Source organism: Homo sapiens, chromosome 7 (genome assembly GCF_000001405.40).
Source record: "Homo sapiens chromosome 7, GRCh38.p14 Primary Assembly".
NCBI classification, from domain to species: domain Eukaryota; kingdom Metazoa; phylum Chordata; class Mammalia; order Primates; family Hominidae; genus Homo; species Homo sapiens.
The window spans coordinates 158,157,876-158,181,043 of record NC_000007.14 but is presented as its reverse complement, the minus strand read 5'-3'; the positions used below and the strand labels follow the sequence as shown (position 1 = coordinate 158,181,043).

Below are 23,168 nucleotides of genomic sequence, written 5' to 3'. Positions count from 1 at the left end.
AGTTGAAAGCATCCCCCCTGCGAACTGAAAGAAGACAAGGATGCCCACTCTCACCACTTCTATTCAACATAGTACTGGAAGTCCTAGCCAGAGCAGTCAGAAAACAGAAGGAAATAAAGGGCATCCAAAATGGAAAAGAGGAAGTCAAACTATTGCTGTTTGCCAATGATATGATATACCTACAAAACCCTAAAGACTCCTCCAAAAGACTCCTAGATTTCATAAACGAATTCAGGAAAGTCTCAGGTTACAAAATCAATGTACACAAATCAGTAGCAGTGCTATATACCAACAATGACCAAGCTGAGAATCAAATCAAGAACTCAATCCCCTGTACGAGGGCTTCAGAAAATAAATAAAATACCTATCAATATACTTAACCAAGGAGGTGAAAGATCTCTATACAGAGAACTACAAGACACTGCTGAAATACACTGTAGATGACACAAACAAATGGAAACACATCCCATGCTTATGGATTGGAAGAATTTCATGAAAATGCCCACACTGCCCAAAGCAATCTACAGATTTAATGAAATTCCTATCAAAATACCAACATTATTTTCATATAGCACCAAAAAATAGCCCAAATAGCAAAAGCAATCCTAAACAAAAAGAACAGATCTGGAGGCATCACATTACCTGACTCCAAACTATACTACAAGGCTAGAGTTACCAAAACAGCATGGTACTGGTAGAAGAGTAGGCACATAGACCAATGGAACAGAATAAAGAACCCAGAAATAAACCCAAACACTTACAACCAACTGATCTTTGAAAAAGCATAGAAAACCATAAACTGGGGAAAGGACACCTGTTTGATAAATGGTTTTGGTAAAACTGGATAGCCACATGTAGAAGAATGAAACTGGATCTCTATTGATGCAGGGTAAGGAGCCCCAAAGTGGGGCTTAGCCCACCAGGGTTCTTGGCTTTGCCCAGGAAAGAATTCAAGGGCAAGCTGGAGATAAAAGAAAGCAACCTTATTGAAAAGGCAGTGTTACAACTCTGGCAGTGTTTTAGCTCTGTGACTGCTCCTGCAGAGCCAGGCTACCCCATAGGCAGAGAGTAGCAGCTCAGGGAAGCTTTGCAGTCATATTTATAGCTACTTTTAATTACATGAGGGTTAAGAGTGGTTTATGCAGAAATATCTAGGGAAGGGGTAGTAACTTTTGGGTCATCAGGTCATTGCCATGGAAAGGGGCAGTTACTCCTTGGTGTTGTCATGGCAAGTGTAAACTGACATGGCATATTGGTGGGTGAGACTTATGGAAACCTGCTTCCACCTTGGCCCTGTTTTAACTAGTCCTCAATTTGGTTCAGTAACCCAGCCCGGCCTCTGAAGTTGAGTCCTGCCTCCTACCTCATTATCTCTTACCTTATACAAAAATCAACTCAAGATGGATCAACAACTTAAATCTAAGACCTGAAACCATAAAACTTCTAGAAGATTAAGTAGGAAAAAATCTTCTGGACATTGGCCTTGGCAAAGAGTTCATGGGTAAGACCCCAAAAGCAAATGCAACTAAAACAAAAATAAATTGGACCTAATTAAACTGAAAAGCTTCATATAGCAAAAGAAATTATCAGAAAACCCACAGAATGGGAGAAAATATTTGCAAACTATGCATCTGACAAAGGACCAACATCCAGAATCTACAAGGAACTCAAACAATTTAGCAAGAAAAAAAAATCCCATTAAAAAGTGGACAAATGACGTGAACAGACATTTCTTAAAAGAAGATATTCAAATGGGCAACAACATATGAAAAAAATGCTCAACATCACTAATCATCAAGGAAATGCAAATTAAAACCACAATGAGATACCACCATACTCCTGCAAGAATGACTATTATTAAAAAGTCACAAAACAATAGATGTTGGTATGACTGTGGTGAAAAGGGAACACTTATCCACTGCAGGTGGGAATGTAAATTAGTACAACATCTATGGAAAACAGAATGGAGATTTCATAAAGAACTAAAAGTTGATCTACCCTTTTGATCCAGCAATCTCACTACTGAGTATCCAAAGGAAAAGAAATCAATATATCAAAAAGGCACCTGTAGATATATGTTTATTGCAGCACAATTCACAATTGCAAAGATATGGAACCAGTCTAAGTGCCCATTGACTGATGAGTGGCTAAAGGTGCAGTGGCTCACGCCTATAATCATAGCACTTTGGGCGGCCGAGGCAGGTGGATCATGACCTCAAGAGATTGAGACCATCCTGGCCAACATGATGAAACCTCGTCTCTACTAAAAATACAAAAAATTAGCCAGGCGTGGTGGCGGGTGCCTGTAGTCCCAGCTACTTGGGAGGCTGAAGGAGGAGAATCACTTGAACTTGGGAGTTGGAGGTTGCAGTGAGCTGAGATTGTGCCACTGCACTCCAGCCTGGCAACAGAGCAAGACTCCATCTTAAAAAAAAAAAAAAAAAAAAAAAAAAAGAAAGAAAATGTAGTATATATATACACCATGGAATACTACTCAGCCACGAAAAAGAATGTAATAATGTCTCTTGCAGCCACTTAGATGGAGCTGGAAGCCATTATTCTAAGTGAAGTAACTCAGGAAAGGAAAATCGATTACCTTATGTTCTGACTTATAAGTGGGAGCCAAGCTATGGGTATGCAAAGGCAGACAGAGTGATCTAATGGACTTTGGAGACTCAGAAGCGGGAGGGTGAGAGGGGAGAGGGATAAAAAAACCTACATATTGGGTACAATGTGCATTACTTGGATGATGGGTGCATTAATATCTGAGACTTCACCACTATTAAATTCATACATGTGACCCAAACCATGCGTACCCCAAAAGCTTTTGAAATTTAAAAAATGGGCAAAAGATTTGAATAAACACTTCACCAAAGAGGATAAATGAGTGACAATTTAATGTGAAATATTCAGTATCATTCCTCATTATGGAAATGAAAATTGAAATCACAGTGAAATACCACTACAAACCTATAAGAATGGCTAAAATTTAAAAAAACAAAATACAAACTGACCATCCTATGTATTGGCAAGGAGGTGGAGGAGCTGGACCTCTCATATGCCACCAGTGGAAATGTAAAACATTAACAACGATTTGGAAAACGTCTTGACAGTTTCTTCAAAAGTGAAATGTTTACTTGCCTGTGATCCCTCCATCCCACTTCTACTCAAGACAAACGAAAGCATGTGTGCATTCAAAGATTTACACACGTATCTTCATGGTAGCTTTCATAGTAAATGCCCACAACTGAAAAAACCCAAATGTCTATCAGAAATGGACAAAGAAATTTTGTTTGATCCACAAAATGGAATGCTACTCAGTAATAAACTGGAGTGAGCTGTTGATGCATGAAACAGCACAGTGAGTCTCATTTCTGTTGACCAAAAGACAAAAGAGGAGCTATTGTTATAATTCCAGTTTGGAAAGCTGTAGAAAATGCAAACTGGGTTATAAGGGACAGAAAGCTGGTCGGGATTGCCTGGAGCTGTGGACAGGGATGGGAGAGGGCAGTGTCTCCAGGGGCACCGGAATGTATTCAGGGTGACGGACGTGTTCATTGTCATGCCTCCTGTACTGTTTATTGTATGTCAATTATATCTCAGTAGTGCTCCAAAGGGAAAAGAGGCAAGCAATCCCATGCAAAAATGTATAAAAACTTTGAACGGATACTTCATAAAAAGATATACAAATGGCCAATGAAGGCATCAAAGGTGCTTAGCATCCTTATTCACAAAACCATAAAGAACAACCACTTCATGTCACTAGATTGGCTAAAATTAAAAAAAAATCCATAAAACCAACTCTTGATGAGGACATAGAAATTCTCAAATTAGGGGGAATGCAATGCAAGCTGTTATAACCTGTATTTGGAAGCTGCTTAAAGGCTAAAGATACGTCTGTCCTTGGACTCAGCAGTTCCCCTCTGGATGTCTATCCAAGAGGAGGGACGCCTGCATTCACAGGAAAGCTGGCCCATGACTGCCCACAGTGGCTCTATCCAGAACAGCCCCAAACTGTCACCACCCAGATGTGGTCAACAAGCCCACCTTCCCCTATCCCTGTTTCTGGAGGAGGGCCACCTAGAGAGATTGTGCAGAGATAGCACAGCTTCCCTCACAGCCCTCTGCTTAGCCATGCCACCTGGAGGAGCAGGTGTGGAGGCACACAGCGATGAGGACCGTGGCCTCCACATGTTGGATGCCACATTCACGATGTCCATTTGAGTTTTTTAAAAGTTTGCCCCCTCATGTGATTGTTCTTATGACCTTTGGTGGGAAGCGGAGCTCTGGTGGAAAATTGGCCCCAGGGCATGGTGTTCTGCTCCCAGCATACACAGTAGCATCTGAGGCAGAGCAGGTTGATGCATGCTGGCCACCGTCATCCTGACTGTCTCCCCTGGTTTCCTCCCAGACAGTCCTGTCCCTGCCCTCCACTGAACACTCACAGTGACAGCTACCACCCACCCTGCACTAGCAGTCCCTCCACACCCAGACCTGTGCTCCATGGAAGCCGACCTGCTTACGGTTCCTCTGTTCACTCGGCGTGTTTGGTGTCTGTCACTCGACAGACATACACAGCCTAGGGAGAAGGGCTGCATCTTAGCTCTGCCCTTTCCTCACTGCAGGATCTTCTTTCCTCATTTGCAAAATGTGGGTAATCATGTCTGTACCATCGAGTCATTGAAAGGGTTAGAGAAAATTAAGGCATGTAAAGCCGAAAACAGCCTGGTGTAGCACTCAGTGAATAAGAGCCCCGTGGCGATGACTGTCCCTCCATCTTCTGGGTGGTTATGAGCCAACTGACCTCTAACCCCAGGCCAAGGTGGACGGGACATGGATTGGAACTCGCTGCTTTAATCATGCCCTGTGCTTTTCACTTGCCAGGTAGGAGGCTTTTGGGTGCAGCTTCTGGAAAGGCCAAAACGCAAACAGGAGCCAGAAGAGTGACAGAAGGAAGAGTGGCGGGCAAAGTAGGGTGGGCTGAGAGCAGTGCTGGCCTCACGGCATTGCGAGTCTCGGAGCAGGGCGGGCTGAGAGCAGCACTGGCCTCACGATGTCGTGAGTCTCAGCAGGGCGGGGTGAGATCAGCACTGGCCTCACGGTGTCGCGAGTCTTGAGCAGGGCAGACTGAGAGCAGCACTGGCCTCATGGTGTCACGAGTCTTCAGATAATTCCAGACTCTCAGAATGCATCATCATTAGCAGATATCCAGGAGTTCACATTGGCACCCCGTGATACTGTCAACTCGCTACAAATTTGTTGATCCCAAGTAGTTTAGGACTTAACCTCTTCAACCTCATAGATTTTGTGAACTCTGAAAACTGTTTGGGGTCTTATTTTTCAGTCTGAGAGCTCTATACCTTGGCTGCAGAGATAGCACCGTATACGCTCGTGTGAGACCCCCCTGCTTCCCTGAATGCAAAAAAGTTATTTTGTCTTGGCGACAGCACTGTTGGTAAGAATGACACCACAATTATTTCCCCTCCACACGAGTGGGCCACTTAGAGCCTGAGCACTGTTAAACACTGACACTTTCTACTGTGTTAAGACAGAGACAGAGGCAGAGATACACAGAGAGACAGAGACACAGAGAGAGACAGAGAAAATAAATGAGCTGCCAGAATCACCTCTCTAAGGCCCGAGACAGAAAGGCACAGTGAAGTCATCCCAACCCCACATTCACGAGCCGGAGCCGGAGCTGCAGCGTTCCCACCTCAGCTCCCAAACCTGGCCGCATCCGGTGCCGGCTCATTAGGAAGCCTGTGAATAGCACTGAGGCTGTGTGCTTTGTCAGGCTGGCAGCAAGCACGCCGTGATCAAGGTGCCTGTCAGTGCTGCCGGCGGGCAGTGAGACAGGGAGAAAACGTGTGTTATGTGGTCAAAAGATGTCCCAACTTGGGCTTCCTAATTTGTTTTGGATCCTCGGTGCAGGAGAATAGCTGATGAGCATGGGCAGAGACCAGTGCACACACAGGAGTCTCCTCCACCCAGAGTCTCCCGGCATGTGGGACTCCCCGGACCTCCAGGCCTTCCTGTCAGCCTGAACTCATAATTGTGCCTTTGGGACTGGGCTGGGTGGATCTCCAGGAGAGGCATGTTTGTCAAAGGAAGAGGCCTGATTTTTAGCTCTGGTACTCCCGGCCCCAGTAAAGTTGGGAGCGAGGAGAGTCACTTCCTCAGCAGTGTCACTGTTTGACAGGTGAGGGGTATGGTGCAGGGCGTGGCTCTGTGAACTGCATCAGCTGGCTCCAGGAAGCAGCTCTGATTTCCTCCAGCTGAAGAGAATCACATTCTTCCAAAACCAGGATTGCTTTTCTGACCCTTTCTAATAGCATTCTTTCAATTACGGTTGTTAATGTCTATGACTCAACTCCTAGTTCAGTCTGCAAGATGTTTGAGGACAGGGCCACATCTGAGTTATTCTTCCTTCATAGAAGTCCAGGGCTTGGCACACAGCAGCAGTAGGGGTTTGATGATGCTGATGGCGGGGGTGACACTGATGGTGTGGATGCTGCTGTGGATGGTGTGGATGATGATGGTGCTGCTGCTGCTGATGATGATGATGGTGGGAAGCTGATGGTTGAGGTGATGATGGCAGGGATCATGTTGATGGTGGAAGTGATAATGGTGGGGATGCTGCTGTGGATGGTGAAGATGATGATGGTGGGGATGCTGCTGTGGATGGTGGGATGATGATGGTGAAGATGATGGTGGTGGGGATGCTGCTGTTGATGGTGGAGATAGTGGAGATGATATTGTTGATGGTGGAAGTTGTTGCGGGAAGTCAGGGACCCCAAATGGAGGGACCGGCTGAAGCTGCGGCAAAACATAAATTGTGAAGACTTCATGGACATTTATCAGTTCCCAAAATTAGTACTTTCATAATTTCTTATGCCTGTTTTTACTGCAGTCTCTGAACATAAATTGTGAAGATTTCATGGACATTTATCATTTCCCCACTCAATACTCTTATAATTTCCTATGCCTGTCTTTAATCTCTTAATCCCATCATCTTCATAAGCTGAGGATGTATGTCACCTCGGGATCCTGTGATGATTGCATTAATGGTACAAACTGTAAAACATGTGTTTGAACAATATGAAATCAGGGCACCCTGAAAAGGAACAGAACAACAGCGATCTTCAGGGAACAAGGGAAGATAACATTAAGGTCTGACTGCCTGCGGGGTCGGGCAGAATAGAGCCTTATTTTTCTTCTTGCAGAAAGCAAGTAGGAGAAATATTGCTGAATTCTTTTCCCAGCAAGGAATAATCCTGGGGAAGGAATGCATTCCCAGGGGTAGGTCTATGAATGGCCGTTCTGGGAGTGTCTGTCTTATGCAGTTGAAGATAAGAGATGAAATTCTCCCTGGTCTCCTGCAGTGCCCTCAGGCTTACCAGGATTGGGAAATTCCAGCCTGGTGAATTCTAGTCAGACCAGTTGTCTGCTCTCGAACCCTGTTTCCTGTTAAGATGTTTATCAAGACAATGCATGCCCAGTGGGACACTCATCAGTAATTCTAATTTCACCCCCTGCCTTGTGATCTTTTATTGCCCTCTGAAGCATGTGATCCCTGTGACCTACTCCCTATTTGTACACCCCTCCCCTTTTGAAATCCCTAATAAAAACTTGCTGGTTTTGTGGCTCAGGTGGGCATCACAGAACCTGCCAATATGTGATGTTACCCCTGAAGGCCCAGCTGTAAAATTTACCTCTTTGTACTCTTTCTCTTTATTTCTCAGACTGGCCAACACTTAGGGAAAATAGAAAAGAACCTGTGTTGAAATATTGGGGGCTGGTTCCCCCAATAGGAAGTGATGATGGTGGGGATGCTGCTATTGATGGTGGGATGATGCTGATGGTGAGGGTGATGATGGTGTGGATGCTGCTGTTGATGATGGGGTGATGATGATGGTGGGGACGCTGGTGGTGTTGGTGGTGATGGGATGCTATTATTGATGGTGGAGATAGTGGAGATGCTGTTGTTGATGATTGGGGTGATGATGGTGGGGATCCTGCTATGGATGGTGAAGATGATATTGGTGGGATGCTGCTGTCGATGATGGGGTGATGATGATGGTGGGGATGCTGCTGTTGATGGTGGAAGTGATGATGGTGGGGATGCTGCTATTGATGGTGGGATGATGCTGATGGTGAAGGTGATGATGGTATGGATGGTGCTGTGGATGGTGAAGTTGATGATGGTGGGGATGCTGCTGTGGATGGTGGGATGATGCTGATGGTGAAGATGATGATGGTGGGATGCTGCTGTGAATGGTGAAGATGATGGTGGGGATCCTGCTGTGGATGGTGAAGATGATGGTGGGGATCCTGCTGTGGATGGTGAAGATGATGATGGTGAAGATGATGATGGTGGGATGCTGCTGTGGATGGTGGGATGGTGATGGTGGGGATGCTGTTGGAGATAGTGGAGATGCTGTTGTTGATGGTGGAGATAGTGGAGATGCTGTTGTGGATGGTGGAGATAGTGGAGATGCTGTTGTTGATGGTGGAAGTGATGATGGTGGGGATGCTGCTATTGATGGTGGGATGATGCTGATGGTGAGGGTGATGATGGTAGGGATGGTGCTGTGGATGGTGAAGATGATGGTGGGGATGCTGTTGTGGATGGTGGCAGTGACACTAATGGTGATAATGATACTGCTGATGACTGCCATTTATCAAGTTCCTCCTCTGAGTTGTGTGCTGAGCAAGGCACTTTTACCTATACTCTCCCTAATCCTCACAGTGGCTTTTAAAGAAAACAGAATTATTTTTCTAGTTTTGCAGGTGGTGAAAATGAGACTTCAAGAGGTTAGATAACTGGTCCAAACTTACACAAGTTACACAGAACTGACAGGATTGGGCCAGTCTTTCAGTGAGCCTTCTTTCCTGCTGGCTTTTTCAGTGTGTGGGCGAGTGGGTTCTGCTTCTCGTCATATGGAAATGCAGTGGGTTGAAGAATATTCCCAGTAGAATATCATGTCAGCTTAAACATCATCAGACTTTGGCAGAAGCTCTCGAATGCTTCATATCCACAGCTGGGCTACCCCAGAGATGCTCAGCCGGATTTCTCTTACACATAGTTTGAAGACTTCATGCACAGGAATGTCCATCGCCTGTACTGGAAATTAGTCTGTGTCTATGCCGTTAGGCTGCTAATTTCCAGGTTTGGGCAGCTACGGTCTTAAAAATTATTCCACATTGTCTTAGGAAACCTCCCTTCATTGGTATGTTGAACTGAGACTGAAAACATCTTCACAACAGGGGGTTTGAAAATGAGTCACAGAATTTTAAACTCAGAGCTGAGAGTAGAAGAAAAAGTCTAATTGGATAGTTTCTCCTCAGTTGAGATGTGGATTTCCTGACTGCTTTAAAGAATATGAAGGTATAGGCTGGGCATGGTGGCTCACGCTTGTAATCCCAGCACTTTGGGAGGCCAAGGCGGGCAGATCACTTGAGGTCAGGAGTTTGAGACCAGCCTGACCAACATGGTGAAACCCCATCTCTACTAAAAATGCAGAAAAGTTAGCTGGGCCTGGTGGCGCGTGCCTGTAATCCCAGCTGCTCAGGAGGCTGAGGCAGGAGAATCACTTGAACCCAGGAGGTGGAGGTTGCAGTGAGCCAAGATCACGCCATTGCACTCCAGCATGGGTTACAGAGCGAGACTATGTCTTAAAAAAATGTGTGTGTGTATATATATATATATATATATATATATATATATATATATATGTGTGTATATATATGTGTGTATATATATGTGTGTATATATGTGTGTATATATATGTGTGTATATATGTGTATATATATGTGTGTATATATGTGTGTATATATAGTGTATATATATGTATGTGTGTATATATGTGTATATATGTGTGTATATATATGTGTATATATATGTGTGTATATATGTGTATATATGTGTGTATATATATGTGTATATATATATGTGTGTATATATATGTGTATATAATGTGTATATATGTGTATATATATGTATGTGTATATATATGTGTATATATATGTATGTGTATATATATATGTATGTGTATATATATATGTATGTATATATATGAAGGATAAGGTAAAGTAAATAATTGTAATAATAGTAGTAGTCATAGCCATTAACACTTCCGTGCCAGATACTATTATTATTATCCTTGTTTTACAGATTACTTAAATAGTGTGCTGAAGCAAAGGTCATTAAGCTCGTAGCATTGGTGGTAGTTTAAACCCAGGCAGCTCCAGAGCCAGTTCCTTTTCCTTGGGGACCTCAAACCGTGAAAGAGCCAGTCAGCGTGAGAATACTTTTCTTTACTGCCCATGTTCCCAACTCTCAGGCCCTCTTGGTTATGGGATGGTCACCTCACCTTGGTGAGAAACACCCCAGTGTCTGCAATCATCTATTGAGTAGCCGGAGTGGCTTGCAAAAACCGATGTTTGCTATTATTTCTACAGGCTCTGTTGTTTGTGCTAACTACTGAAATATTCTTTTTCCTCTTCACCTTAATTTGATTCAGAACATAAACCAAAAATAGATTGTTTATCCAAGTCTACTGCACAGATCACACTCTGCTGTGATTGTGTAATGCACTGAACCTAGTCAGTCCTGCACCTGGAGCTTCCAACTCAACTTTAATTAAAGGCCCTTTGCGTGGAAGCTCCAGGTTACTGCATTCATAGCAATGAGGGGAAAGCCACTTGCAGGCACATAACGAGGGATTTGGACGCAGATCCCCACCCCCCAGCACGGTGGCTGACCAGGTGTTCAGAGACAGCCTTTGCAAGAGGGAGTGCAGGCTGAGCTGGAGATTGACACTTACACCCAATTTGTGGGAAATTGCTAGAGGGGCTGTTTGTTGTGGTGGCATTCACTGTCTCTCGCTCGCTCGCTCTCGCTCTTTCTCACGCTCTTGCTCTCTCACATATTCTCTTTCTTAAGGGAAGAATAGTTGATTTCAGCTAGTCCTTGGACAAATTTAAGCAATTTGGATGATAGCTATAGTCACATCACTTTAGAAATAATAATTAAAATATCTTAGAGATAATGGCTGGGCACAGTGGCTCATGACTGTAATCCCAGCACTTTGGGAGGCTAAGGCAGGCCCATCACTTGAGGTCAGGAGTTCGAGACCAGCCTGGCCAACATGGCGAAACCCCATCTCTACTAAAAACACAAAAATTAGCAGGGCGTGGTGAAGGGCACCTGTAATCCCAGTTACTCAGGAGGCTGAAGCAGGAGAGTCGCTTGAACCCCAGAGGTGGAGGTTGCAGTGAGCCGAGATGTGCCACTGCACTCCAGCCTGGGCGACAGTGAGAGACTCCGTCTCAAAAGAAAAAAAAAAATCTTAGAGATAATGTCCGATTTCCTTTTTTGACAGAAGAAAATTGAGTCTTTAGGGGTCAAGTAATTTACCCAAGTTCATATATGAGAACTGAAATCAGAACCTAATTCAACCTGGCCAGGCGCGGTGGCTCACGCCTGTAATCCCAGCACTTTGGGAGGCTGAGGCAGGCGGATCACTTGAGGCCAGGAGTTTGAGACCAGCCTGGCCAACATAGTAAAACCCCATTTCTACTAAAACACACACACACACACACACACACACACACACACACACACTCACAAAAGCAGCCAGGTATGGTGGTGTGTTCCTGTGGTCCCAGCTACTTGGGAGGCAGAGACATAAGAACTGCATGAACCAAGGAGGCAGAGGTTGTAGTGAGCTGAGATTGTGCCACTTCACTCCAGCCTGGATGAAAGAGGGAGACTCTGTCTCAAAAAAACCCAGAAAAACCAAACAACCCCAACCTCTATCAACCCACTTCCCAACTCCCAGGTTGCTACTCAAAAATCTAACTCAGAGGATGAACCCAAATATTTTCGGAAATAGCCAGACTCAGGAGCTGGACCCCCTTACCTTACTGTCAGTGATGGCTGCACACCCTTAGCTAGTGCCGAGGTGTCCACCTCCACTGACATGACATTGATCATGTGCCCCAAGGAGGTGCAAGTAGAAAATATGAACGGATGGGATTTAAACTGGGGTGTCCACACACCCATGCACGCCTCCAGGGAGCTCAGCTTGTGTGTCCAGGATTCGAAAGTCTCTAAGCTGGAAATTATTCATACTCAGCCTGTCCATGACATTTTGATGAAGCCCAAGTCAGAGGTACAATGTGGGGACTTTTCACATTTTTACAGCTGCCCTAGAGGTGAGGACAGCTGGGCCTTGGTTTATCTAGTGACACAAAGTGTGATGAGGACATGTCCTCTTAACGGAATTTTACTAAATGAGTGAGGAGAAAATATAGACAGAAATCCCATGAAAGACTGTTAGCCAGGGCATTGACTAGTAAATGATGTGATAGGTAATTATCGAACAAGAGACCCTGGCATCTTCCCTGCTGCAGCACACTGCAGTTAAAAGAGCAGGCAGCAAACATGTTTCAGGTCTTCAGTAAAGAAGTTGGAGTGAAGACCTCCAGACAAGGCACTTGAGGCCTCTGCTGAGGGTTGCTGAAAGAGAGATTCAGCTATTGGGGAGCAGCTTTTCAGGGTTAAAATAAAAACCAGTGCAGGCAAAAAATACAAACAGACATTTCTTCAGAGAAGATGTAGGAGTGGTCAATAAGGGCACACAAAGATGCAGCATCATTAGCCACCAGGGAGGCACCGCCGAGCCTCATGAATGTGTCTGGGAGCAGCTCCTCTCATTGCTGTGAATGCAGTAACTCCGAGCTGCCGTGCAAAGGACCTTTAGTTAAAGCTGAGTTGGAGGCTCCAGGTGCAGGACATACTAGGCTCAGTGCATTATGCAAGTGACACAGCACGGTATTGCTTTCCAACTGCTAGGACAACCATAGTAAAAACAGAAGGAAAGTAGCAAGTGTTGGCAAAGATGCAGAGGAACTGGCATCTGCATCCATTACTGGTGAGATTGTTTGTGGTGCTGCTGTGCTGGAAAACAGCTTGGGAGTTCCTCAGTCAGTTAAATGTCGAGTTACCATGTAATATCCTCGAATAAACCCAAGAGAATTGAAAACACATTGATACACAGACTCATAAATGAATACTCATAGCAGCATTATTCAAAATAGCCAAAAGGTAGAAAAAAGCAAATGTCCATCAACTGATAGGTGAATTTTTAAAATGTGGGATATACATGCAGTGGGATAGTACTTGGCTGAAAGAGGAAGGATGTCCTGGCCCATGCCCCAGCATCAGCATGGGTGCACCTGAGGACATTATGCTTAGGGAAATGAGCCAGGCACAGATGCCACACATGGTGTGATTCCATTTACACCAAACGTCCAGAAGAGACTCCTCCATAGAGACTGAAAGCGAATGAGCAGTGTCAGGGTGGGAGGGAGGAATGGGAACACTGCAAAGTCTCTTTTTGGGTGATGCGGATGTTCTGGACTTAGTAGTGATGTCTCACAACTCTGAATACACTAAAAACTGCTGATGTGGGTGAATTATCTCCATAAAGCTGATATTAAAAATAATGCAGGAACAAATATGAAATAGGGACCTGGGTTGGTCAGTGTGAAAATGAGAGTCCTGTTTTGGCTTTACATTTCAGAGATGTCCAGGGCTGTTTAGGACCTTGAACCTGAGACCGAAGGGCATCTTTGTACCCCCAGGGCTGTTTAGGACCTTGAAAACTGAGACTGAAGGGCATCTTGGTGCCCCCAGCTGACGATGGAAATGTGACTCTTGCTCTGTTTTGCTCTCCTTTCCTTCAGGGTGATGACCGCTTCTCCGAGAGCATCCTGACCTATGTGGCCCACACGTCTGCGCTGACCTACCCTCCCGGGTCCCGGACCCAGCTCCGCGAGGACCTCCTGCCGCGGACCCTCGGCCAGCTCCAGCCAGATGAGCTCAGCCCTAAGGTGGACAGTGGTGTGGACAGACACCATCTGATGGCGGCCCTCAGTGCCTATGCTGCCCAGAGGCCCCCAGCTCCCCCCGGGGAGGGCAGCCTGGAGCCACAGTACCTTCTGCGTGCACCCTCAAGAATGCCCAGGCCTTTGCTGGCACCAGCCGCCCCCCAGAAGTGGCCTTCACCTCTGGGAGATTCCGAAGACCCCTCCAGCACAGGCGATGGTGAGCCAGCCCCGCTTGGTGTTTCTTGTTTGCTGACTGTCCTCTGTCCAGCCCCTCCCAGTGACAGACGCACCATGCTCTTCCCACACGTGGGGTCTGCACACCGCACTCCCCCGAGGACGCGTGGCAGGAATGGGGCACCATGTAGGGAAGGGTCCCTTCGGCCCTCATACCCTCTCTGTGCTGGGAAGGAGTATGTGGTCATTTCACGTCCTGGGAACGCAGTGGCCAGTGAGAGGCGGGAGGTGATCCTGACAGTGGGATGGAGAAGGCGCTGCTGAGGGTGTGAGGACAGTGAACACAGCGGCCAGTGGGAGGGGAGGTGATCCTGAGGGTGTGAGGACAGGGAACGCGGCGGCCAGGGGGAGGAGGAGATGATCCTGAGGGTGTGAGGACAGGGAACGCGGCGGCCGGGGGGAGGAGGAGATGATCCTGAGGGTGTGAGGACAGTGAACACAGTGGCCAGTGGGAGGGGAGGTGATCCTGAGGGTGTGAGGACAGGGAACGCGGCACCCGGGGGGAGGAGGAGATGATCCTGAGGGTGTGAGGACAGGGAACGCGGCGGCCAGTGGGAGGAGGAGATGATCCTGAGGGTGTGAGGACAGGGAACGCGGCGGCCGGGGGGGAGGAGGAGATGATCCTGAGGGTGTGAGGACAGGGAACGCGGCAGCCAGGGGGAGGAGGAGATGATCCTGAGGGTGTGAGGACAGTGTGTGTTCCCTTCTCACTTCTTGTTCATCCCTTCCCCAGATTTTATGATTTCACAATTCTACTGCTGAAGCTGATGGATGGGGCGGGCAACATGGCTTGCAGGACGGGTCTGGCCCACAGCTTGTGTCATCCATATCTGTTTTGGAAAATTGACTCTGAACACGTTAAGTCCAGTGTCCTTTGTCGCTGAACTCACCTCTCCCTGTGGCCCAGCATGTGACCGTAGCCCATATTTATGGCGGTTTGCCACATCCTCCGAAGCCCCCTGTCTGGATTTCATGCTGCTCACCATGCACTAGCTGAACAGTGTCGGCCTCGAGGTGACTGCTCTGCCAAGACCGTGGCTTCCGGTGTCGCTACCTGAGTTAAGCCACGTCAGGGCGGGCCCAGGGGAGAAAGGCGTTTGCGGGTTCCTGCGACTCTTTGTGATATGGAGAAGGTTCCGACCCATTTATTTCCCAACAGCCTTTTCCCAAGACCATCCTGCAGTGGGTTCTGATAAAACATGACTTCCCTTTTGGAGATAACAAATACTAAAATTTCACAAACATTGCCTGAGCATCGCGTTATGTGAGCACTCTCTGCTCCTTAAGTGAAGGCTGAATGGGAGCCGCTGAGAGCGAGCATCAGCTTCTCTGCTGTCTGCAGCCGGGAGCTCTCCTGCCCTCGCTCTTTCTTTGTTCATGCAGCCGTTATGGCAGTTTTTAAATAGAAGGAATGTGAAATTGCAATTAGAGGGAAGGACGTGTGACCATTACCGATGCTTTCTCCTTGTTCCTCTCTTGGAGGAGAAGGACGGCGGAGGAGGCCGATGCTGCACTTGAGTGAGTGCTGCTGGAGCATTGATGGTGCTGTTTGCTACGGGAGCTGCCCGCCTGGAGTGGCCACTTTCCCTCCAGCACCTCTCCCTCTGGGACGACGTCTCCTCTGTTCTAAGCCATGCTCTACTCCGAGAAACCCCTTTCCTTGATGGTCCTGCCTCCTGCACTTGCGTGGGTACTAGACACCATCAGGGTCTTCACTGCCTCCTGCACTTTCGTGGGTACTAGACACCATCGGGGGTCTTCACTGCCTCCTGCACTCTTTGTGTACTAGACACCATCAGGGGTCTTCACTGCCTCCTGCGCTTTCGTGGGTACTGAATGCTATCAGGGGTCTTCACTGCCTCTTGTGGGTACTAGACACCATCGGGGGTCTTCACTGCCTCCTGCACTCTCGTAGGTCCTGGACGCTATCAGGGGGTCTTCACTTGCGACCTTGGGTCCGTGTAGCTGCCGAGCTTCCTGTTCTCCTCCAGCTCAGTGTGGCCTCAGCCCTTGGCCACAGGCGGTGAATACATGGCTGAGGTGACCTTCAGCTTCTCATCTCAGCCTTCCTTGCCCCTCCCCGGCACCGGCTGCCCCTCTACCTGCATTCTCCCACCTCTATACTCCTTCTAGTGGGGTCACTTTGGGTCGTCCTCTTCCTTCTCTAACCTCCCTTTTCTCTCTCCTATCCCATCTCCCACAGCTTAAAAAGCCCCATTCACCTCTGTCCTCATTATTGGGAACAGAAAGCAATAAACATCGTCGCCCCCATCAGAGGGAGGGAAACCCAGCTGGAGAGCCGGGTGAGGGTGAGCTCACAGAGAGAATAGGACGCATTCCTGCTCTGCGTGCCTTCCCTACGTGCGCGCCTTCCCTACGTGCGCGCTCCCGCTCTGAGCCCTCCCTACGCGCGCGCTCCCGCTCTGCGAGCCCTTCCTACGCGCGCGCTCCTGCTCTGCGTGTCCTTCCTACGCACCCTCCTGCTCTGCGAGCCCTTCCTACGCGCGCGCTCCTGCTCTGCGTGTCCTTCCTACGCACCCTCCTGCTCTGCGTGCCCTTCTTACGCGCCACTCCTGCTCTGCGTGCCCTTCTTACGCACGCGCTCCTGCTCTGCGTGCCCTTCCTACGCACGCGCTCTTGCTCTGCGTGCTCTTCCTACGCGTGCGCTCCTGCTCTGCGAGCCCTTCCTGCGCGCTCCTGTTCTGTGTGCCTTTCTTATGCACCGGGGAGCTTCACCTCCCTGCCTTGGCGCCTTCTCGTTCCTCCCACACCCCAGGGTGTGGATCTTCGGAACAAGCGTCCTGACCGTGCTCTCTCCACTCTCCCGTGATCCCTACGAGTTACACAATGTGCTTGGCATTCTTCCTGAGCTACCCTGCGATGCTGGTGATATTCTGATAAAAACTGACTTCCAAACTGCACTGTGCGCTTTAGAAAAGCCTCATGTAAAACGGCAAATAGGAAATACGCAGAGAGAATTGAGAACCCCATGCAGGTATCACCTATGAAATACACAGAGAATACTGATCACCTATGAAATATGCAGAGAGAATTGAGAACCCCGTACAGGCGTCACCTACGAAATATACAGAGAATATTGAGAACCCCGTACAGGCGTCACCTATGAAATAGAATTGAGAACCCCGTACAGGCGTCACCTATGAAATAGAATTGAGAACCCGGTACAGGCATCACCTATGAAATACACAGAGAATATTGATCACCTATGAAATAAGCAGAGAGAATTGAGAACTTCATACGGGCGTCACCTAAGAAATATACAGAGAATATTGAGAACCCCGTACAGGCGCCACCTATGAAATATACAGAGAATATTGAGAACCCCGTACAGGCGTCACCTATGAAATACACAGAGAATATTGATCACCTATGAAATAAGAAGAGAGAATTGAGAACCCCGTACAGGTATCACCTACAAAACACGCAGAGAATATTGAGAACCCGGTACAGGCGTCACCTATGAAACACGCAGAGAATATTGAGAACCCCGTGCAGGCATCACCTATGAAACACGCAGAGAATATTGAGAACCCCGTACAGGCGTCACCTATGAAATAGAGAGAATTGAGAACCCCGTGCAGGTATCACCTATGAAACACACAGAGAATATTGAGAACCCCGTACAGGCGTCACCTAAGAAATAGAGAGAATTGAGAACCTGGTATAGGCATCACCTATGAAATATACAGAGAATATTGAGAACCCCGTACAGGCATCACCTGTCTCCCACAAGTGGTGACTCTCAGGCTTTCCTGATGCTCCTCTGCGCCCACTACAGCCCCCTGCTCTGCCCTGGGATGATTCTAAAGCAAATCCAGACATCGAATGATTTCTGAAGATGTGAGGCCCTAGCTAGACAGACATTCTCAACACACAAAGAGCAACTGCACCCGAGCAGGAAGGGAGGACCCTGTGATAATGCCAGGGAACAGAAAACTTCTTTACAGGTCAGAGAACAGGGCCACCCTCCTGTCGCACGGTCGGGTCCAACATGAGACCCTTGCTGTTTAGTCTTCAGAGAGTGGGAGAGAAGACCCACGCGTACCTGCTCCCAAAGAAGCAGTCAGTCAACGAGGCTGCGGGCTGAACGCATATGACAAAAGTTTACCTGGTAAAAGCTTTAAAAAGAGACTCTCTTCCTTCACTTATTCATAATTCACATCTGGTCTCCTTTCAAAGAGCTTTAAAGCAGGTTCAGTGGAAGGCCTATCTAAGGTGGGGTGACGGGGAGGACAACAGGTGACGTGCAGTGGCCGGTGAAGGAATTTGGGGCTCATCTAGTTCAGCGTCTCCAGTTTCCCCACTCGAGACCTGGCAACCATGGACCTTGTTGCTGTCTCCATAGTTTGCCTTTTCCTGAATGTCCTGGAGTTGGAACCTTACAATATGTGGCCTTTTCAGATGGGTCACATGCCTTGAAGATTCCCCCATCTTTTCATGGCTCGATGGCTCATTTCTCTTTAGTGCTGAATAGTATTGTATTATTACATTATAATCCATAACACTCCATTGTATAGATGGGCCACAGTTTATTCGCCTACTGAGGAACATCTTGGTTGCTTCCATGTATTGGCAATTATTCATAAAGCTGCCATAAGCACCCTCATGCAGGTTTTTGTGTGGATATAAGTCTTTAACTTCTACTGGTTAAGTACCAAGGAGTGTAATCACTGGATCACATAGTAAGAGAATGTTTGGTTTTGGAAGCAGCCACCAAACTGTCTTCCCCAGTGGCTGTGGCATTCTGCATTCTGCGTGCCACCAGTGGTGAATGAGCTGCTGTTGCTCCACATCCTCGCCTGCATTGGGTGTTGTCAATGTTCTGGGTTCCGGCCCTTCTGAGAGGTGTGTGGTGGTGTCTCGTTGTCATTTTCATTCACATTTCCCTGATGATGGAGGAAGCAGAGCATCTTCACATGCTTGTTTTCATCTGTGTATCTTCTGTGGTGAGGTGTCTGTGGTGGTCTCTGGGCCATGTTTTAATTAGGCTGTTTGTTTTCTTATTGTTGAGTTTGTAAAGTTCTTGAATATTTTAGATATTGGTCCTTTATCAGATATCAGATATGTCTTTTGTAAACATTTTCTCCAGTCTGTGGCTTGTATTTTCATTCTCTTGACAGCGTCTTTTGCAGAGCATTAGTTTTTATTTTAATGAAGTCCAGCTTACCAATTATTTTATTCATGGATTTTGCCTTTGGTGTTGGATTTTAAAAAGTCATCACCAAACCCAAGGTCATCCAGAGTTTCTCCTCTCTTACCTTTAAGGAGTTTTATGGTTTTTCATTTTATAATGAGGTCTGTGACCCATTCTGAGTTAGTTGTGAAAGGTGTAAGGTCTGCATCTGGAATTGTTTCTGTACATGTGGACATCCAGTTGTCCAGCACCATTTGTTAAGAGGCGATCCTTTCTCCATAGCATCACCTTTGCTCCTTTTCAAAGCTCGGCTGACCTCATGTATGTGGACCCATGTCTGGGCTCTCTGTTCTGTTTCATTGATCTGTTTGTCTGTGTCATCAACCCCACCCTGCCTGGATTCCTGTGGAGTTGGAGTGAGTCGTAACAATGGGTGTAGTGCATCCTAATGATGGGTGCTGTTGTCCTCCGCCTTTGTTCTTCTTCAGTATTGTGTTGGCTGTTATGGGTCACTCGCCTCTACATATAAACTTTAGAATAAACTTGCTTGTATCCAAAAAATGACTTGCTGGGATTTTGACTGGGATTTCATTAAATCCATAGATCAAGTTGGAGAACTGACATGCTGACAATATTGAGTCTTTGGGAGCCAGTCATAATCCTGAAAGACACAATCCTGAATGCCATAGTTCTGAATGTTAAGATCCTGAAATATCAAAATCCCTAAGGTCCCTAAAATCCTGAAAATCACAGTCTCAAAATATCAAAATCCCAAAAATGTAATTCTGGAAAAAATTATTTAAAAGACATTTATTTACATTTTTAAAAGGGAATTTATTTGCAAAATATATAAAATCGTGACAAAACACTTCATAGGCCATTTTACACAATAAAATAAGCAATAATAACATTCGTATTTTTGCAGACATAAGCCCTCAGATATCTTGACGACAGTTGCATGGGCATCACACTTATGAGCAGATGAACTGTGTTTATGAAGACATAGGTCAGGAAGGGAGATGTATAAAAGCATGTCCCTCTGCTTGGTAATTGTGTGCACCCAGCTGTATAACTGCAGGCATCTGAAATACCCTGATGAACAACCTAAGGCTTTTGACAAGATGAGTCAAAAACCCTGATGGGTCACTGCTGCATAAACAGTCGAAGAGCTGAGATCTCAAGAAATTGTATCTTTCGCAAATGCAGATGTACAAAAAGGACATTCTTCATTTATTGAGGAAGTTGCAGTGTTTTTGCATTGAGAACCAGGGAAGCTGATGATGTAACTCTCAGTCTGAAGACCCAGGGACGGCTGGTGTGAGTCCTGGAGTCCAAAGGCCGCCAAACCTGGAGCTCTGATGTCCAGGGCAGCAGAAGGAAAGTCTGCCCCAGCACTCAGAGGGAGCCTAATTCACCCTCTGTGTTTGTTCTCTCTGGGCCCCAGCTGTTTGGACAGTGCCCGCCCACCAACACTGAGGCAGACCTTCCCCCAGCCCTCTCAGACTCCACCCCAATCTCCCTGGAGACACCTCCCAGAAACACCCAAAATGAAGCTTTACTGGATTTCTAGGTATTCCTTAACCCAGTCAAGTTGACACTTAAAACGAAGTCTACAGTTTCACCCCTTGTCAACTTGGCACTCACACACAACTCCTTAAGTTATGCTTAATTTCCAAATAAAGACAATAACAAGCTAATAGCTCCACCCAGCAGGATGCAACTCTCCTGTGGTTATGATTTAGGGGATTTTAAACATTAGCAACACTAGACTTTTGGGATTTAGACTCTATTTAGAGATTTTGATATTCAGATATTTGGGGATTTCACTATTTGGGATTATGGCAATTGGGACTGTATCTTTTGAGATTATGATCCAAACCCATGTCCTGCTAGCCATGAGCATGTAATATTTATACGCTGCTTCTCCATTTCTTTACTTTTGCTTTCTTTCATCAGTGCTGTAGTTTTTTTTCATATAGATACGGTACTTGTGTAATGCCATACTTTCAGCTCAAGACTCTGATGACAGCGAAAGCGTTTTGGAAATCACTTTAGGAGATGCATCAGACACCGTTTTCTAAATGAACCAATGACAAATAATGTGTGGGGTGTCCACTGTTGTAATCCTTGCTCATTGATCAAACACCAGCCACACTGAACGGGAAACAAAACCGGTAACCAACCTGTTAGAACCCTTTCTTTCATCATCTTGGTTCTGCGCCCTCCAGAGCCTGGATGGGAATTACAAGTCCCTAATTCACATCATGACGACTGACTTTTGGTTCTGAATTTCACATTGCAACCTCATCCCAACATACCTGATATTTCTTCTATTCAGGTGTCTTATTATACTATCGCTTGTATGGCCAAGGTAATCACGGGTCTCCACCCAGCCAGCCTCTGTCCTAAGATGGGGCCCGTGGTGTTCATGTGGGAAGTGCACTCGGAAACTCATGTGGAAGCTGGAAGAACTTGTTTCTGCTGCCGGCCGTGCAACTCTCCAGCCATGCAACGCTTCGCGTGGTTATTCCCAAGTTCACTCATTCATTCAGAAAGCACTTGCAAAGTCCCGGCCAATCACACGGGCTCCTGATTCTCCCAAGTTCACTCATTCATTCAGAAAGCACTTGCAAAGTCCTGGCCAATCACACGGGCTCCTGATTCTCCCGCGTTCACTCATTCATTCAGGAAGCCCTTGCGAAGTCCCGGCCAATCACACGGGCTCCTGATTCTCCCGAGTTCACTCATTCATTCAGGAAGCCCTTGCGAAGTCCCGGCCAATCACACGGGCTCCTGATTCTCCCGAGTTCACTCATTCATTCAGGAAGCCCTTGCGAAGTCCCGGCCAATCACACGGGCTCCTGATTCTCCCGAGTTCACTCATTCATTCAGAAAGCCCTTGCGAAGTCCCGGCCAATCACACGGGCTCCTGATTCTCCCGCGTTCACTCATTCATTCAGGAAGCACTTGCGAAGTCCCGGCCAATCACACGGGCTCCTGATTCTTCCGAGTTCACTCATTCATTCAGAAAGCCCTTGCGAAGTCCCGGCCAATCACACGGGCTCCTGATTCTCCCGAGTTCACTCATTCATTCAGAAAGCACTTGCGAAGTCCCGGCCAATCACACGGGCTCCTGATTCTCCCGAGTTCACTCATTCATTCAGAAAGCACTTGCGAAGTCCCGGCCAATCACACGGGCTCCTGATTCTCCTGAGTTCACTCATTCACTCAGAAAGCACTTGCGAAGTCCTGGCCAATCACATGGGCTCCGCTCCCAGTTCTCTCCCCTCATCCAAAATAAGCGTGTTCTGGTCCTCTTCTCCTTCGAGCCTTCCGTGACCCTGAGGTCCTGCGTTGGCTGGTGGGGTGCCCACTTCCTTGTCGTGTTGGTGGTGGGAATCCCAGCCTGAAAACCCTCACAGAGAAGGGCGTGTTCCCCGCAGCCCAGTCTCAGGAGGGCACTGAACCAAAGCTTTGACTTTTCACGGTGACAGCAGTAGATTATAACACAGAAATAACTGATACCAATGCTTCTGTCACTTTGGAGAAAATATGCCCACACTTTTGGGGTCATTTTCACTTGAAAGGAAGCACCTGCTGCCTTTTCGTTTTTGAAGAAATTCATTCATATTTGAATGCATCCCAGTGCTGCTCAGTGCTCTAAACCCAAGCACGCCTCTTGGCTTAAAAAAAAAAAATTAGAAGAGAATTGGCCACCTAATCACTGGCACACAGAGGCCGCCTCTCACAGGCTGCTCCAGGAGGAAGCCACTGATAAATTGTTAATCTCGGATCCATGCCCCTGGCTGGAGTTCACGAGCACCCTCTAAAGCAGGAGGAGAAGGCACCTATGTTATCAAAGTGCCTTTCATCCTAGCGAAAC

The 23,168-nt window shown here is 46.9% G+C and overlaps 1 protein-coding gene across 14 annotated transcripts in view, besides 2 other annotated features; it reads left to right on the top strand.

Annotated features, from left to right (window-relative positions):
• Positions 1-23,168, top strand: part of PTPRN2 (protein tyrosine phosphatase receptor type N2) — a 1,048,768-nt gene that overhangs the window by 406,780 nt on the left and 618,820 nt on the right. For all 14 annotated transcript variants that reach the window (XM_047420678.1, NM_130842.4, XM_047420679.1 and 11 more), the window contains one exon: positions 13,753-14,113. In XM_047420678.1, coding sequence (XP_047276634.1) covers positions 13,753-14,113 — 361 coding nt within the window. The remainder of the gene's footprint in view (positions 1-13,752; positions 14,114-23,168) is intronic.
• Positions 16,123-16,647: an enhancer, noted in NCBI's record as "H3K27ac-H3K4me1 hESC enhancer chr7:157957089-157957613 (GRCh37/hg19 assembly coordinates)". NCBI's record gives its function as "activates a minimal SCP1, AML or CMV promoter by ChIP-STARR-seq in primed H9 embryonic stem cells {active_cell/tissue: H9 hESC(primed)}" and the evidence as "EXISTENCE:reporter gene assay evidence [ECO:0000049][PMID:30033119]".
• Positions 18,894-19,142: a silencer, noted in NCBI's record as "fragment chr7:157954594-157954842 (GRCh37/hg19 assembly coordinates)". NCBI's record gives its function as "represses an EF-1alpha promoter that drives an FKBP-Casp9 reporter gene in an ReSE screen in HepG2 liver carcinoma cells {active_cell/tissue: HepG2}" and the evidence as "EXISTENCE:reporter gene assay evidence [ECO:0000049][PMID:32094911]".